General features: G+C 36.3%; 1 protein-coding gene and 1 long non-coding RNA gene across 53 annotated transcripts in view; one reads left to right on the forward strand and one right to left on the reverse strand.

Moving 5' to 3' along the window:
• Positions 391-18758, forward strand: part of ARPP21 (cAMP regulated phosphoprotein 21) — a 155634-nt gene continuing 137266 nt past the window's right edge. For 29 of the 52 annotated variants that reach the window (NR_170705.1, NR_169632.1, NR_169633.1 and 26 more), the window contains exon 1: positions 1063-1936. The gene's annotated coding sequence lies outside the window, so the exon portion shown is untranslated. Of the gene's footprint in view, positions 570-1062; positions 1937-2532; positions 2591-3070; positions 3242-3870; positions 3947-5192; positions 5361-18758 lie in introns of those variants that run through there. The other 23 variants (NR_169646.1, XM_011533300.4, XM_047447337.1 and 20 more) reach the window with 5 other exon arrangements.
• ARPP21-AS1 (ARPP21 antisense RNA 1) lies at positions 11735-13499 on the reverse strand. The gene is made up of 2 exons (NR_046679.1): positions 13246-13499; positions 11735-12022 (listed from the first exon to the last, which is right to left on the reverse strand). It is a non-coding gene; the product is annotated as an ARPP21 antisense RNA 1 (long non-coding RNA).

The following is an 18758-nucleotide window of genomic DNA, read 5'->3' on the forward strand; positions in this document are numbered from 1 at the left end:
GTGGTATATCTTGGCTGGTGACCTATAATGTTGGAAAAGTAGGCTCTACATTCACTCAGAAGGAGTAGGTGGAATTCCGGAAATTTATTCACTCTCCTTCACTACGCCTTTTCCTTTTTTTTTTTTTTTCCTTCCTTGTAGTGTGTTAGTGAGTGCTCCGAGACAATGAAAAAAAACAATGAATTACAGACAATAAAAATAGTGCATCTCTAGAACAAGCGGTAAAATCAAGGCTTTTATTTCTTCAGGTGTCAACTCTGTTCCTTCCCCAGGTCCTACCCTGCCCAGGTTTCTGTGGCACCTCTGTGATTCCAAATCAGCGATCAGGTGGGCAGCGGTCTGGGCAGTCACCCACAGGGAGTACACTTGGTGCTGCACGTTCGGACTTTCAGTCTTGCTCAAAGCAAAGAATCTCCAAGAGCGCTGAGGCTACGGATTCATTCGGGTGGGGCGAGGTGTTATTATTGTGGGATTGTCTCTGCAGAGTTGGCCTGGAGAGTGAGCGGTGGAGGGAGTGGAACAAGGCTTCGTCAAGAGTCCCCAGGAGTCCAGGGGCGCCCCCGAGACGGGTACGCTGGAGGGCCTGGGCACGGGGGACAAGAGAGAATACATGCCTGCTCGCTGGGAGCAGGGAGGCGGTGTGGCGGGGCAGGGGGCAACGTGCCAGTTTTCTTTCTGATTAATGATGCTCACGCTGCTGCGCGTGGCTCATGCGCTTTGTCTCCAGCCTTAGGGCTGGCGGAGAACGGCCCAGGGAATGAGTGGTACCGCGGGCGCCCGGCGCACCCAGCAGGTGCCATCACTCTGGATGGGCCAGTTCTGGATGCTCCCAGTGGCGCAGAGGCGGCGACACTGGCAGGCGTCCGGCTGCCGCCACCTCCCGGGTGTGGCGGGTCTGGGGCCCGGGGTCTCCGGCCAGAGCAGCTGTGGAGCCACGTGCAACACGCGCGTTGCCCTCAGCCCGGGCGGGGACCGGACGCATCCGGAGCTGCGGGGAGGAGCCGGGCGCCGCCCCCGGCGGCAGTGCCAGCCGCGTGGGAGGGCACGGACCGGCGGAGGGGCAGACGACGGAGGCGGCCAAGCTGGAGGAACGGGACCGAGGGATCGACCGAGGCTGGCTGGCTAGGGGTGGGACTGGCAGAGCTACGGACAGGTGGGAGCAGTCAGACAGCCTGAGAGAGGGAGACCAGAACGCAAAGAGAGCGAGAGCATTAAGTAGGCAGGGAGAGGCACACAGAAAGATAGACAGCAACACTCGCGTGCTCCCTCCCTCCACACGCCCTCCTCTTACCGAGCGAAGCGGCCAGGGGCACAGAGTGGGAGAGGACTGTGGGCACAGAAGACCGGAAGAGGGACGCTGCATTGCTGGTGGGACGGAGGGATTCGGACGGACGGACAGACCAGCGCACAGACTGGCAGCCTGCGAGAGTGGCAGCTTTGAGAGCAGAGCGCAGCAAAGCGAGAATCCCGCGCCGAGCTGCTAGTCGGACCCACAGACGGTCGGACTGACAGACGTGCAGACGGACAGAAGAGCAGACAGGAGGCGGGGGCGCGTTCACTCCCGGCGGCCAGCCGGCCAGAGAAGGCGGCGGTGGCACCTTCTGAGCGCGTCCGGAGCAGAGACCAGCAGCAGCAGGGGCAGCGGGGACACAAGCCGCGACCGAGCCGCCGCCGCAGCCCTGGCTGCCACAGCTGTGTGGGATCCCAGCCGACACTGCAGAAAGCTCCTTTTACTAGCAGTTAAATAAATCGACCAAAAACAAAACAAACAAACAAACCCAACAACAACAACAACAACAAAAGCCAAGCCAAAAGCCAAAACAAACAAATCCAGCCAAATCAATCATTGAGAAACAATAATATTAATAAAATCCAAAACTAAATCAAACCAATCAAGGCACCAAGACGCAGGGGGGATATCCACAGTTCGATCAAGGTAATAATCAAGGTCTTCCGACGTGAACATTGCACGCCTTTTGTGGATTTTTAGAATTCCTTCTTTCTTTCTGCCATATATCTGTCTGTTTCTTTTGAATTTTTTCTTGTCTGTATTTCTTCTTCGTGTTTGTAGAAAGCTGATGTTGTTATACATGTATTGTGTTTTTTATGTTTCGTCAAGGAGGGATGGACGCTCCTTCCCCCAGAAAAGACAGAAATGGAAAGCTGGAAGTTGGCAATGATTTTCATCAGAGAAGTCTACAGTGATTTGTATAGGCTTTATGGTAGAAAGTTTGCAATGCTCTTTTTGAAAGAGACCTATTGAAGAGGTAGAAAGTTATACTCTGTTTGTTGTCCTGGAAGGATTGGGGTCCTAGGTCCCAAAGGGCTCAAGGGGAAGAATAGAAAAGATGTTCAGTTTTATTTTTACATGCATGAAATCTGTGCTTCATTGCAATCGCCAATTTACTCTTTTCTGTCTCAGGTTGTAGATATGGTGGTAGAATTGAGTTGAATTAGGCAGGTGTTTAGAAAGTTTCTTAGGAATAGGAATTAACTCATTCAATGTTTATGCATAGAAATATAGCTGAGGTGGATGTGGTTGCTGTCAGCTATTCAGGTTTGCTACCTGATCACCTCCTGAAGATGTAGGGTAAGGACAGAATCCAAGCCTAAAAGAAAAAACAAGGAGAGAATTGAAAGTTATAGGGGTGGGCAGTTATATTTCTTAAAAGGCTGGTAGAAATCATTTTCCTAAGAATGTGTTTAGAGTACAGATATTCATTTTAATCTTTGATTTCTTTAAGTTTTTTGATGTTTGATTTTCTACCAGTATGACACTCAGCCTCTCAAAACAAGAAGGACATTCCCCAAAGTTGAAATGAATCTGTATAAGATTTCATTCAAATGCAGAATAAATTCAAATGATTCCTAACCCCTCCTCATCTACTTTGGAGATAAAAACTGCTATGATTGTTTTAAGTAAACAGAGAAGTGGAGATGACAGGAAATCATTTTTCATTTGTTAAAAATCAGAAAACCTTTGACACACTTTTAGATAAATACACCTACTCCTTTGATCCTTTGTGTATGTATTACCACAGGGCTTAAATATCTTAAGATTTTAGTTAATGTCATTTTCATGAAAGACAGTCATTTGGAAGCCAAGAGCTCTATCTATGTTTTGTTCAAATAGCCGAGTAATCTACTATCTTGGCAGTAATTACTTCTGCTGCATTTCTAATGTGAATTGCATGTGAGAGCTTATGAATACACTCTTTTCAAGTGTATGTGGGTTTTCAAGGTATGTATTTGTGTTTGATCCTATATTTCCTTTGTTATAACATTCTGCTTTTCATCACTTTGACAGAATATTTGTAAATTTTCTGGAGAGTGAGTTTGGGTATATGCTTTGAGGAATATGCTTCCTCATTACAAAAGATATGGAAACATAATTGATTACTACACTTGCTTATCAATAGTATTTTGATTTTGTTTAAATGAAATGTTTAAGATACGTGGATTGCTATGCATTCATGTTTTAGATTTATCCTCTCCAGGCATGATTTATGCCATTCAATAATTAAAATAACTAAGTTACTTTAGAAAAAGTGCCTATTAAACAGAGTACTTTGTTTAGAGGACGTATATTTAAATAAACTTATACAGCTAAAGAAACTGACTTTCACTTCCTCAGTGACTTAATTTCACTACATGCTGATTTGTCCTTTGCAGTATTTAGCTCAGACCAAGACAGAATTGTATGTGCTATTAGATTTGCAAATTGCTGATCTCCCAGTGACTTTCCCTCTTAGATCCCAGTTGAGTATGGTTACCTTGAGAACTGTGGTATTAGCCATGTTAGAGCATGCTCCACTGGGGAGTTCTGTGCAGTCTATTTTTAATGCTATTTAATGAAGGAGCGAGCGCCTCACTCAGCAATAAAAGAAGCATGAGGGAAGACAGAGCAGTGCATGGTTATGGATACTGGACAAGGATATTTGGAAAGGTAAAGGCTGACCATTGGATATGGTAATTTTAATTAAGTCCTAATATATCATATGAATGGAAATATGGATTTTTGTTAGAGAATTATACATGAATAGTTCAATAGGTGTTTTCGTAAACCTCTTCACTAGTTCTTAGAAAGAAGACTCAATAATTTGAGTTTTTAAAACTTGAGGGACATACTAACCAGGGAGTTCCTGCATGCAGACTATTTTTAATACAAGCTGTCATATTCTTGGGTGGTGAGAAGTACAGAAATAATTTCAAATTCCTAAAATATTGTTCGGTGAAAGGTTTGGAGCTTGTAAAACGTTCTGCGAATAAAATAACTAATATGCTTCTAAGATACTACAATAACCTGAAGCTCTGCCTTGTGAATTGCTTCATTTTCTTTTATGAACTTGGAGTCTAGGTCCAGAATTGTCACAACTAAGAGAAGCAGGAAGTTTTGTTTGGACTTGATAGAATATTTGGGGTGTTTTCTCTCCTTAGAATTAAGATAAGCCCTACAGATTATCTTACTGAAGTCTAAATATTTTAAAAATATAAGTAGCAGAGGCAGCACTGGTAACTTTTGTAATGTCACAATAAAGGGCAAAATATCTTAACATTATAGTGTGTACAATGCAAGAAGCCATCTGTCTGCAACATTTGTATATATGCAGAACACCTGTCTTGAGGTAGAAAGTGAGAATGTTCAATCAGAAAGGTCTTGTGTTGATTTTCATATTAACAACATACTATAATCAGGTTATTCTTTTGTTCAGAGTAAAGCTAATTAGACAAAATGCTTAAGTAGTTGCAAGGTTAATAAACATAAGAGAAAGTAAGCAGTTTCTATTAAATGGGGAAGTTAGTCATATAATTTTTAAATGAAGCTGTTAGAACAATGTGCAAAGTTGATCTGGATTTTTGCCAATTCCTATGAAAAATAATCCCCAGAAATAAACTACTAAGGAAAATACATCACAATGAGTTACTGTGATTTTTTGTTTGTTTGTCTTTTTGACTTAGTTCTAGAGGAGGAAGACAATTCACACTGGCTAAAGTATTTCCCTTAGTGGTCATGCCTTTTGGACCACAATGCTGATACCTTTCTCAAGCTTCTCAAATCAGTGGGAATCCTCATCGGAATTCAATGTCTATTTTGTCTGTGGACAAGATAATGATAAGCTACATAAGTAGAGTGTAGAATGAGTCAGCCACTGAAGACACAATATACAAGGTAGCCAGAAGTGAATATGATTGAGAATTCTCATTAGTGTGAGGAGACAGTTTGAAGTCCATAAGGTTGGAAATTGCAAATTAATCATTTGTATATAAGTCAGTTTAATTCAGATCTGCTTTGTGACAAGGTTAGGAGAGAATGTGGGGCTTAAAGGTGATGTCGACAATGAAAGCCATTTCTTCTTATGGTAAGTACTGGCATCATTCTAACTGGTATCACATGGTAGTAGCCTATTTAGAAATTTGTGAATCTCTAATCACAAAAAGAATTGACTTCCTTAAAAATATATTATATCACCTGGAAAGTTCTGAATATATTTTAAGTCAGCGATGATGCATTTGTAAAACATATACTTCCTTTCTTTAGACAAAGGATCTTTATGATTCTAGAAGCTCTACATTTCTGTGGACTTGTATTTTATTTTTTATTCTAGCATTTTATGTTAAATATGATAAATGAATTTCAAGCAGCAATGTAAGCAAATGCTGAAGGACTGTTGAAGGAAAAAGAAAATATTAACAAGATGTATCTGTAACTAGATTTGTTTGCTTAGGGTGTCTTTGCTTCTGAGTGTTAGTTTCCTTTAGGTAGCTTTATGCCAAGTTCTAATAAATTGATTATTTGTAGTGCCTTAGTCTTATAATTTAATTAATTTTGCTCATCTTGGATTAATTTTGGCCCTAGATATTGAAGTACATGTTACTTGTATTTATATCATAACCAATGATCTATGAGGATTAGATATGAGCTGAGATATGAAGTATTTAAATTATATACATAATATGTTTCATTAAGAATAAAGTGCACGAGAAAGAATATCTGGTTCATTCAGCAGTTTTTAAATGTCTGGTAACATTGTTATCTTATAGTCTCAAAATCTGTGGTCTGAAGATATTTTCTTTAGGCATGACATGCTCATATAACATTTTGAATGCACCTTTCTCTAAACTTACCGAGACATATCTGTGCTTTGAGAAATAGCTATGCAGCAAACCAAAAAAGTGAATTGAAATAATTACATCAAGACAGTGGAGGGGATATTGCAAAAACAAAGGGGTTTGTTTGAATGCATCGAATTGCTCTCTACTTTCAGACTGAATCCTTAGCATCATATTATGCTCCTGTTTTTTAGTCACCAGTATAGATCCTGGAATTGCCAGGTGGAGAGAATGTTAATCACTGTCCATGGTCACAGTAGATCAATATTTTTAAATATCTTTACACGATTTGCCCAAAGAAATGTCTTTTGGCAGTTGTATAACCCCCATTTAATATACCTTTCAATGTGACAGGTTTAGAAGATTTTTGTATACGTTTTGTAATAAACTGATATATATTAGGATACAATTGTAATTGCGACATTAAAATGTTGAAGCATTAGAAGCATTAGTCCAAAACTGTCTCATTCAAGGAATATATTTATAATTATTTATCAGTCATAAATTCATACATTTTAAAAGTAATATACATTATAATTGTTCCTGTTATCTAGCAAAAGAAAATCATTTCTTTTTATCCAGATAAAGAGGGCAAGTGTCCACTAATAATTATCCCCTCTAAAAACAGGCCTTTTACTACATTCTCACATTTCACACTACTTCAAGATGATACAATTCTTAAATTAGAAATCCATTATGAATAACACACAAAATATTAAGATTTTGTTAACAAAATCCCTTCTGTAAACATTGGTTTTAAGATAATTGCAAATAAAATTTGTTTTTAGTTTAAGGGAAACATTCAAAATTTTTCACAAGAAAACAATTACGTCACTTTTTATTTCAAATATTCCAGCGAATTTTCTAGAGTTTTCTGGTATATTATGGGTAATGTTTCTATGAAGAATTGTAAAGTGTAATATATGATCTTTTTTTCTGCAGCTTTTTCATTGAAAACAAATTCACAAAGCATATCTACCTAGATAAGCCTAGTCATCTCTCACTGATACCCACACAAGTTAGGAAATAATTCCTTGTGGTAGGGACATTTAAAAGAACTAACTAGTTCCAAATTCAGTGCTGGAACTCTTAATAATGGATAAGCATTCTTTTACATTTGTGTTATCCTTGGTTGCTTCTTTATTATACACTAAATACTTGAGATAAGATCAAGAACTCTCCCTAGGGAAACAGAAACAAGAGAAGTGGTTTTCATATACTTAGCAGATTTCCTTTTAATTGCTAAGATACAATACTCATTCAGAACATTCTAGTCCATTGGATCATACACTAAAAAAAAATAGTTTATCCATGTTGATATATTTTGGTCTAGTTGAAATTGAGAAACAACAAGTGAGGTAAAAAATTTCAACATCTTTAAAGAACAAAATTGAACATCAATTTCTAAAAGTTTTATGGTCCTATGAATTGTGATAAAATATGCTTTGACACGTAAATCAGAAGGCCTAGCTATCATCTAAATGTTCAGTGATTCAAGTTGCTTTCAGATTATCTCACTACTGTTACATAGACCTAGAAAAATCGAGCCACTGGTCAATAGAGGGTGAAGGAAGAGCATGTCAACTCACCGAAATTCAATGACTCCTCGTAATTGTTTAAATTTTATTTGCCCATAAATTCAATGGAAAAATGGAAGACTAACACATTTATTTTTCAGCTTTTTGTATGTTTCTAAAACTGCAAGCTAAAGTCCTCACAAAAAGTTCTAACATAGAGAGATAAAAAAACTATACTCTGCATTTACATGTTTTTCTTAGTGTTTTGCTTGTTAATATCTATGTAACTTTGATGGAAATCCCAGCGTTGCTAGCATCAGATTTGATTTAATCATCAAAGAGCTTTTGGACAGAAAACAAGTAGATTTGATGTGAGTATGTGACAGAATCAAGAATTCTGCAGCATTTGCAAGCTTTAACTACTCAATGCTTCTTTAAAACAATTTTTAAATGGGTGTAAAGAAGCTTTTGGTTAAAAATATGGAACTTTATTTTCTTTGTTTAAAGAAAGAAGATTAAGGTTTTTAGTCAAATCATGATTCTTTAAGCCAATGTGGCACATAGCTGTATTAAAATTGCTATTAAATTCTGCCAAATTAATTAATTGTTAGGATTCTGCAGTCATATTGGACTACTTCATATATCTGGCCTATAGGAATGATCAAGCTAACACTCTTCGATGACTTTGTTTATATTTTGTTTATTTTAAATTTACTTAGATATGCTGATGTTGTAAGAAATTTTGGAAATTGTCAAACAACTGGCATTGTACTAAATTCAAAAATTTCACAGCAAAGAACTAGCTGGTATTAATGATTCATCATTTTTTTCACTCCCGTGTCATTTAACTTTGGTCACAACACTTTTTTGTGTGGAGATTCAAATTTCTCTCCAACACTGAAATTTTCACGTAATCACTAACAGTGTTCTGGAATGATAAGTTAATCTAGCATATAATCATGTTGCATACACATGCTGCAGCTATCTGCTTACCCTTAGCATTGTTAAGCACTCTGACAACTGAATGCCTTAATCTTTAATTATCATTATAATTATTGTCTTCAGCCAGAACTATGGATAACTTAGTGTTTTAGTGTTTTGTCATCATCGAGAGGTAGGAGAGTATACACAGCTAATGTGATAGAATGTGTATATTGCAACAAACTTATACATCTTCCAGGATAAGAATACAAATATCCCTCTAATAGGGAAATTATTTTATTTCAGAAATAATTGTAATGCCTGTGTTATTTGTCTGATATAATGTGGGAAGCTGTAGACAGAGATGTTTTGAATTCAGTGGAGCTTCTGATTGAAACTCAGATTAAAAGTAATAGAGAGGTTGTATACCAAAGGTAGGCTAGTAGCTTATCTGAGAGGGAGCAGGTAAATGAGCTGTAAGCAATGAAGGAAGGCTTTACCAAGGAGGCGCATGGCCCTCCACGAGATTCTACAGGTTAGAGAAATGCACAAAATTAGGATTAAAATGAAAGGTCCAGGGAAATAAGGGCTAAAAGTGGTGTATCTGAATCGCATTTTCTGTGACTTACCTTCATAAATATGCAATTCACCACATGAATTGGTGCGTGGTACTGGTGTTTGGTTTCTGGGTCTGAGTAAATAGTGTGACTATGGCCAAAGCTCTAAACCTCTCTGTGCTTCACAGTTTCTACAGTTAAAGTTGTATAGTAACACTGGTCCCAACTCAACAACTTGCTAGTTGTGTGACTTTGGCAACTTAGTTAATTCCTCATTGCTTCAACTTTCTCATTTATGAGGTGGGAATAAGACCTACCTTGCAGGATCAAAGCAGAAACAAAGCACTTGACACATGGATATTATTCACTTAAAAGAAACCACTTTTCTTTCACATAAAAAGTTCAGAAAGAGATTTACTTTTCTTACATTTAAGGATCCCCACCTCCATTTAAGAAAAAAAAATATTTTGGTAATTTGGAATACAGCTCTCCTTCATTGCTATCCCATAATGTTTCTGATGGTTAAAATTGGTGATGCTTGACTCTTTCTGTGCTATGAAATATTGAAGGCCAAGCCAAGGTAGTAACTAATCTCAGAAGTGTTCATTGCATAAGGAACATGATGCTTAACAAGGCCATAATCTTCTGCCAGTTTGTAAGGGAAGAAATGGTCTAATTCAGTTGTCTAAAATGTTAACATATGGGTATTATTTCTCTAGAACATTTTAGTTGTGTAATTTCTACCATTTAAATGGGGTGAATAAATAACCAAATCATTGAATAGGAAACAACTGGAATGAATCCATGAAGGAAAAACCTAAAATCCTGCACTAGTGGATGGGAGCTGGGACTAACAACATATTTGAGGTGACATGAGAGAAACATTTTTCTATTCTGCAACAAAGCAAATGGAGCTTTGGCCTCACCAAGGGGTCCTTGGCACTACCACAGAAGGCTTCAGCTTCCTGTCTCCAAGCACTGAGTGAGCTGTTTGGACAGGGCCGCTGATCTGGCCTCTGATCCTAAAGTATCTGCATTACTTTTGCTGAAATGAGTCAGCACTGTGCCTCTGTGAACATGGCCAGAGGAGGGAAAGACTTCTCTCGTAACTGAGGTTTAAACAATTGGTTCCCCTATCAAAAAATTGAGAGCCACAGATAGTATTCAACACAGGAGAAGGTGAGTTATACAAAGCAGTAAATCCATCAGATAATTGCATTTTATTTCCTATTATAAAACAGATGTCAGCATTCTTCTGGGGAATAGCCTAATCAACTATTTATCCAATAAAATTTATCAGAAGGTGTCAGAGAATAAATTTATATTTCTTTGCTATCCAAATATTTGTTGGAAAACAAACAAAAACAAGGAAAGTGTAGATATATTTTGTTCCTATATGGATACATATATATTGCTAGAGTCGACATGCTTACGCACAAGTCATTTAACTAACTTACGTTAAATACACAAACAAAAGGCCTATTTCCCAGTCCATTTTTCATTGTCCTTAGCAGTTCTTGGCTAGTATAGTGCTTGCATGTGGCAGATATTTAATCAAAGTTTGTTGAATTAAAAATTGACCTTTCTACTGATACTCAGAATTTAAAACCTACTCTAAATAAGGTTTTAATTGTATTTTTTCCCTGAAGTTTCAGCTTAAGCAGATTTGATATTCATTTTTTTGAGAGGACAAAAACCTGCCCTTATATGTAGAATTGTAACTGCACTAGCTATTATTTTGGTTCTTACAAAATAGTTTCTTCCTCAGATCTCAGACAATGACTAGGGATTTTATGGGAATAACAAGGCTCCTAAAAGTTCAATCTGCTTAAACTGACTACAAACATTACTTTTCCATATAAGTGGGAGGGAATTCATTAACACTCAGTTAATATGGTCTTGGAAGAAAGAATGAGGCAAAAGCACGTTTACAAATATTTCCAAATCATTGTTACACAGAGCTAAAGGCAACCCATCTTTACTGGATGTGTGCCTTTGGAGAGATTAACCATGGTGAAGGACACCCAGCATGTGCGGAAGGAATTCACTCCTCCAAAGAACTAAGCAAGTAGGCAGTGCTGAATTAGAAGGCAGGGGTGAGGGACAAAGGGAGAAGAGAATATTAACAAATTCAAGACTTTCAGACCCCCCTCCTGCTTTAAGCAGAACAGGTGCCACCAAGCTATAGGAAGCTCTTCTCTTCCTGCTACTTTGGAAAAATGATAGGAATAACCAGAGTTAAATAGAAAATCATTTAATCCAACTGGACCATTGAGAACTGAATTCACGTTTTACCCGATCTATAAAAATAATCTTGTTTGAAAGGAAGGGGTCCAGATGATTACAAATGAAATGAGTTTGCTTTCTTAATTTGTTTCCAACATTTTAAGAAATGCTAAGTGTAATGTTGATGGAATGAACTTCCATTCACCCATCCACTTTAAACACACACAGACACACAAACAAAAAACAAAACCTTATACCTTAACTTAGAAGAGGAACACGTTATCTTCTCTGAGACTGTGGCAGGCTTTAGGAACATGTAGAAAGCAATAGATTTTGACACCGTTGATATTCTCATCAGGAAGCCAGCAAAATACATTCGAGAACACATTGTTTCAAAGTAAGGGAACTTCCATGGAAGCCAAGTTAAGTAGCCAGCTGAGTTCTTGGGTGACGGCTAACAAGGCTTGTCTTTGCATCAGATATCATTACCATCACTCATTTATTCATTCTTATTTTTCAAGTATTTATTGAAGTTTTCTATGTATTGTGTCTCAGGCTAAATACTTGGGAAAACTTGATGTGTAGGATTTTATAGGCACTTGGATGAGATGAATGCATTTTAACTTTTCTGAACAATGAATTGAGTAATTGAGAGTTTCACAAAAATCCAAAGTGATAGGTAGACAATATCTTGGATGATAAAGTAATATGAATTAATTCCAACAAATTAGAAAAATCTTTCTTTACCAATAAAGTTAATTAGGTAATCCCTAGAGCGTACACTTTGAGGGTAGAAAAATATTGTTTCCAGAAAACAAACATGGAAGAGTGAGCACCACTGAGAAGCTTTGGTGGAGAGGAAAGTTCTGTTGGTGGGAATAGGCCACAAAGTAAAACCAACATTTAGGTTGCTCTCCAACAAGAAAAAACACCATCAACCAAGACAAATGTATATGAAATTAGTATGAGCCAGTCATATTCTCTTTTTCACTCCCATTAAATCATACATTTACTGTATTAGTTACTAGGGCTGCAAGTAAATGGTTGAAATTACATTGGGATTGTGAACTGAATCCACAGTTTAAGGTACCTGATCAGAGTAAAGTATAGAAAATACATGAACCAGCCTACGTATTTAGAATTAAAAATTAGGTTTATCAAAAGACAAGTTATTCTTTGAATTTGTTGTGAGATTCCACATTTGTGTGTTTGAGAAAGGAAACAGGAAAATTATTTCAGAAAAAAATGATAAAATATTATAAAATCTGTTAATCCTTAATAAATTAAAAATAGTGCCTGTGATCAGAGGAAGATGAAATTTAAATGGTTCTGTAGGAAAACCACAGAGGAATAAAAGATTTGATCTGTAGGTCATCTGAAGGATAATCTTTTTTTAAAGAAAAAGATGCATTATTTTTTCATTGGCAGCAAAAACAATTTAGATATTTGGAGGCAGAGAGATGTCTGGAGAAATATATATTGCCTCTGACCTGCCTCTTGTTCAAATACCTTGCTCTGAAATACTGAGAAAGAACCTACTTTTTGAAATTACCTGTAAGCGACAGGATTATGCCAGATAATATCTAAGATCTCTTCCAGTTTATAATTTCCATTATTTAATGACACTTTTTTGTATAATATTCATGCATCCATTTTTATTGGCTTGTTCATAAATGTTAACTATGCTTTGTTCTTTAGCGCTGAAAGTAAGCACTAATGCTACCCAACAGGAGTGAAATTTTTAGAAGGTGCTCTTATCAAGAATAGTTGGTTAAGAAAAGAAAATCTGGGTTCCCAGACCTGGGCTCAGATCCAACTCTGCAACTTAGTAGAAAGTTTCTTAAGCTTTCTAAACCTCAGCTGTTTCATTTCTAAAAGGGGATTGTTCTAAGAATTAAATATAAACTTCTTACCTCATTTCTTGGTACTCATTTTTTTCTGGTGATCATAGTTTTGGAGTTTCTTATGTCCTTATCACTATTTTTTCTTGATTGCATAGGCCTCACATAATTAAAGCATCCCCATAAAACCCCTCCCAGTGTTGAGAATGTTTTCATGATGTGGCAGTTATCTTGGATATTTTGTTCAGGCATAATTGGAATCCGTTTTCAACACAGCTATACTCTATATGATGAATGCTTCCACATCAATGGTTCTGTGAGGAGAGGCCATCTGTGAACACAGAGTGCAGGTCATTGTTTCTAGAAGGCACTCCTTGCACAGACAGCAGGATTTGACCTTTTATAAGCTTGGATGGGCAGTAGAGACTTTGAAAAAGAGATGTGGGTATTCATAGGTGATTCAGAATTCTATGTGTACACAAGATTCCATGCAGTATTTTATAATCTACTAATGTGACTCAGCTTTGGGTAAGATTGTAGTTCTGGTGGTGATTCACAGAGGTCTCCTAGATTTGTCTAGTAATACTGTAGAGAGTTTAGTCTTAGCATCCTTCCAGGAGCAATTTGGGACTGTTATCTAAGAACTAAGAATGATTTCAAATAAAATTACAGTAAACTTGTGACTTGTTCACTTTGCAGATAAAACCAATGGTTATATCCAGCAGAAGGCCATTTGTATAATAAAAGATTTGCCCAAAGGATCTAGCAAGAGAAGAGAGCTCTAAAATCAATTTTTCTAAAAATCACTGAAAACATTACCTCATTGTTTTGATCTAGCTGTGAAAATAGACTGTTTTTTATGTTTTAAGAAAGGATGAGGAGATATCACTTGTTTCATCATTTATTGATTGGATCCTTAGGCTTAAGCAGGGATCAAACAGTTTGCACTGTTAGCCAAGGCATTTACAGCATTGAGACAGAAGCAGACCTACAAACTTGAATGGGCTTATATATTTTACTGGGTAAATTTACCTAATATATTGAATTGACAGCTAAAATGTAGGTATTCCTGATGAGGTACATCGATAAATGGTAAAGAAGATCTACATGAAAGGAGTGTGATGTTTTTCTGAACTTGTTAGGGAAGCTACCATGTGGCCATTTGTGGAGGAAATCTGTACTTATTTCTGTATTGATTAGGTCATTTGTGCCATTTGTTCTGCTCTGCGGGAATTACTTCACTTGGCTTGCTCTTTCTGCACTCTGAATTACCTTGTTTCTCCAGGCAAAAATTCTTATCTGTATAGAAATCCAAGATTTCTGTAGCCTTGTGAGTATTATTTGCTGAAGGCGCAGGGACAGTGATAAGTGAAAAGTCAGTATTCTTCTACTGATTTTGAGTTTACCTTTGGATTATGTTTGATCAAAAGCTACATGTGGCATTGTGATTTCAAATAAATAATTTGTTTTATTGTCTTGTACTGTAAATGTTACCTGATATTTATAAACTCCCTCCTGTGTGAAAGGGACTTTGTGTGCCTATGTAATGTCCATACCTATCTACTTTTTGGCTGTAGTCATAGCAGTGACATTATCTCTGTTATGATATATTTAGGGATTCTTGTTGAAGGAAGAATGAAAGAAGTTATTTCATCCTTAATTTTTTTCTTTGTAATATGAATTACCCTGTAATATGTAACGGCCACACAAAACAGAGAATTCAATTATCTCATCTGGGTATCATCTAACTAAGAATCAGGAGCTAAGGGAAGTAGGTATAGTGAAGCCATGACAAAGAAGGCCATGGAAATTAATTTTTGAAACTGCCGCAAAGTACACGGAAATTTGTCTGCATGCTTCACAGATCTATACTTGTGGTTGCCGTTTATGGCACGAATGATGCCACGGACTATCAGCTCCTGATTTTACATATCTTTGGGACACACTCTCCCCCGGTGTCATAGGAAGGGGGTAGGTTTGACATCATGGTGATCTAAATTTGAATTCCATCTCTGCCTCTTACTCACCTAGCAAAGTTAATTAACCATTGTGAGTTTAATATTTTCTTCATGAGTTACGTATAAAATACTTGCCACATAATAGAAATGATAGCTTGTTCCTGCTTTCTCTACATGTACTGACTATCCATTAAAACATTGAAACTTCTAAGAATATGTACACTGAAATTGTATGTATATCAATATTTGTTTTGAAAATACTGTAAAGTTGTGGTTTGAGTCACAAATATTGTATCAGTCCATGAATAACTGGAAAAGAAAAGTAAAATAAATTTGGAGGGTTGTCACATTCTATAGCATTGGCTTTTATAAAGTGTCAACAAGATATATAATTAAGTAAAAAAATAAGGAAAAAATACTACGGCATATCTAAATCCATATTTGCACTCACCACCCATCTTAATTTGAAGCAGTGAGGTTTCTTTAGGGGACCCAGTGATTCACACTTAAGAACAAACAGATGCCTAGGAATAAGTGATTAAGAGAAAATATTATTTTTTCAGAAAATAAATGGTGATAAAATAGATGAAAAATGGTTTTAAAGATGCATATTAAGTGATGAGTGAAGTTTAAAGGAAAATTGCATTTTCATTTTTTTTCCTAATGGATTCACATGGTTTGAGCTTTTAAGTGCATGTTTTAAGTTACTCTTTTGTGATTGTTTACAGTTAAGGCATATTACCTTGCTCTTCAAATACGTGCTCTAAGATATTCCTCTGTAAACTCAGGGAAAGGCACTACATTATTTATTTACAACCTGTCTTCTGCCCCATGGGGGAGAAGTAACACCAGATAGACAAAGGTATGGAATTTACCGATATTGAGCATGAAATTATCCTTTCTAACTAATACGTTTCTCCTGCAATTATCTTCTGAAAAACTTATATAAGAATTAGCCCATGTGAGCTTTCTTCGCAGATTGTTTGTCCTCAATTTGTTTTCTGCCAAGCAAACCAAACACCTGGAATGCACACGCTCATTCCTTGACTGTGCTTTCAGTGTTTGTTGGCAGAGGGTGACGGTTGCTTTTAGCAGATGTGCAGGATCAGGGTGGCCTTTTTATCTTTCTACCCTCAAGGAGTCAGTTTCTCAGATAAAGGAAGTGGTGAGGATAACGGATGTTTCAGCCTTACCATTAAATAAAAGTTAAGCATAGTAGGTATAATAAACATGTTTATTAATTATTTGTCAAAGGTAGTGACTTTGTTAAAACATTTGGAAAGAGAAATTTAAAGACAATGCTTAATTTTTATTAAATATTAAATCTTATTTTATGACCTGAAGTAAACTAACAACCAAAATAATTTTCTTTGTTTTCCCATTTACCTAACTTGATGAAATGGAAAATCTTAGAAATAATATTTATAGGTAAATATAAGGATTTATTTTATATCAATATATTTTACATTATGTACATAAAACATATTGCTACAAACTTCTTAACCTAATTCATCATATGCATTAGCTAGGTTTACTCCGGTAAGTTTTAACCCATGACAAGGAAATAAACTTTATTTTACTTTTGAGAAATATTTCTGCAGAGATAACAGAAAATAAATGTGCATACTCTTTGATAAATATATATGTGTGTATATTGATATCTACATTTATATATGTATATATTTGAGATTTCTTATTATAAAAAGAATAATCTTTATTATTATGACTGATGGGGTGCTCCAGGCTAGCTTATTTTCTACTTTTTTTCTTTCTGAATTCACTTTTTTCATTGCTAATAAACAATATCCCATTAAGGCTAGGATAATAGAAGAGAATCAATGAAGAGTGGAAACTTGCCTGTACCCCTCTTCTCTGCACGTCACAGCTGATGAAATGGCAAGATAGTAATAGAGAGTAAGATGATGAATTTATTGTTTCAAATGAGGACTCAGGGGTTTCTGTACACTTTAGATTTTGATTTCATAGCTCTGCCCCAGTGACTAAAATGAGCTGTACTGTATGTCTTTTAAATGCCAATTGGTGATTCAGGGCCCATATTTTAACACAAATGAGCCATCCTATTCCTTAAGTGAATACCATTACAGAAGGAAGTAAATGTGAGTTTTCTTATGTCACCTCAAGGGGAAATCTCAGATGGTGGCCCTCCTTCTTTATCACATAGGAGAGTTATTTCTGAAGCAGTAGTTCTCAAAACATCATATACATGAGAATCACCTGAAGGTTTATTGAAATACAGAATTTTTGGATTCAGCAGGTCTGTGATGGGGCCCAAGTATATGCATTTCTAACAAGTTCTTAGTGATGTTGATGTTGCCAGTACATGAACCAGAATTTGACAACTACTGATCTAAAACATAAAACTTTTTGCCAGAATGTAGAATTTGCATGATTGAGATTTTATAATCTAAAAACAAAGGAATATTATAAAATTTCAAAACAAACTAATCTTAGAATAACTTTGAATTTACTTTCATTTAAAAATTATTTTTAAAACATATTTTTAAAGGAGTAGATGAGGATAGTAGATTCCACTAGACAGAGTTACGCAGTCTCTGTTTTGAATGACTATTGAATACAAATTTCTCTCTAAGATTGTGTGTACTAAGAGTTTCCAGTGTAGGATTACAAAATCCACTGAGATATAATAATAATCCCCTAATCCACAAGACTGGATATTCTAAAAATCAAGGAAAATTTTAAAATAAAAATTGGTGAGCATTAGAGGTTAAAACTGTCAACACAAAAATGTGAAGACAAAGATTTATAACAGCTTTATTTTAATTGCCCCAAATTAGGAACAGCTCAAATGTCCTTTAGAAGGTGGATAAACTGCAGTACATCCATAGAGTGGAATATTGCTCAGCAGTAAAAAGGAGTGAATTACTAATCGACACAATAGTTTGGATGGGTCTCAAGGGAATTATTCTGAGTGAAAGAAGCCAATCTCAAGTCATTGCAGACTGTATGATCCCATTTATATCACATGTCAAAATGATAAAACTATCATGACAAAGGGCAGATTGGTGACTGCTAGGAGATATGACAAAGGGAGGGGTGTCACTGTAAAGGGGTCGTATGAGGAAGTTAAAAAACTGGAACTGTTCTGTAGCCTGATAGTGATGGTGGTTATATAAATTTATACAAGTGTTAAAATTAATAAAACCATACAGCCCCTAAAAAAGTCAAATTTACTGTATAATAGTTTTAAAATTAAAAAAGGCAGAATTACACTACCATTTAGTTACATCAAGTAACTGAATTTGCAGTTGTATGAGGTAAAAGTATCAATTTATATAAATAAAATATGCTTTATTTCAAACAAAATAGATAAGAAGATATGATCTCTATGAGAATCATTCTTCAAAAATGGTACTAATTCCATTTTTTCCAGGCAGAGATCCTAGGCAAATTTTGGAATTTGGAAAAATCTGACTGACATAGTCCTTAACTGTGTTACCCCTGGTACCCTTCCCCTATTTTCTCATTCGGTATTTTTCTTAGAATCCTTTCCTGTAAACTTTGCTGCTTTAAAAATGATTTTCATGGACACGTTTATTCCTCTCATTTAGACTAACTGTGAAAAACTGACAGCCTAGAACTTTCATC

The sequence above is a fragment of the Homo sapiens genome, chromosome 3 (genome assembly GCF_000001405.40).
Source record: "Homo sapiens chromosome 3, GRCh38.p14 Primary Assembly".
Lineage (NCBI taxonomy): Eukaryota > Metazoa > Chordata > Mammalia > Primates > Hominidae > Homo > Homo sapiens.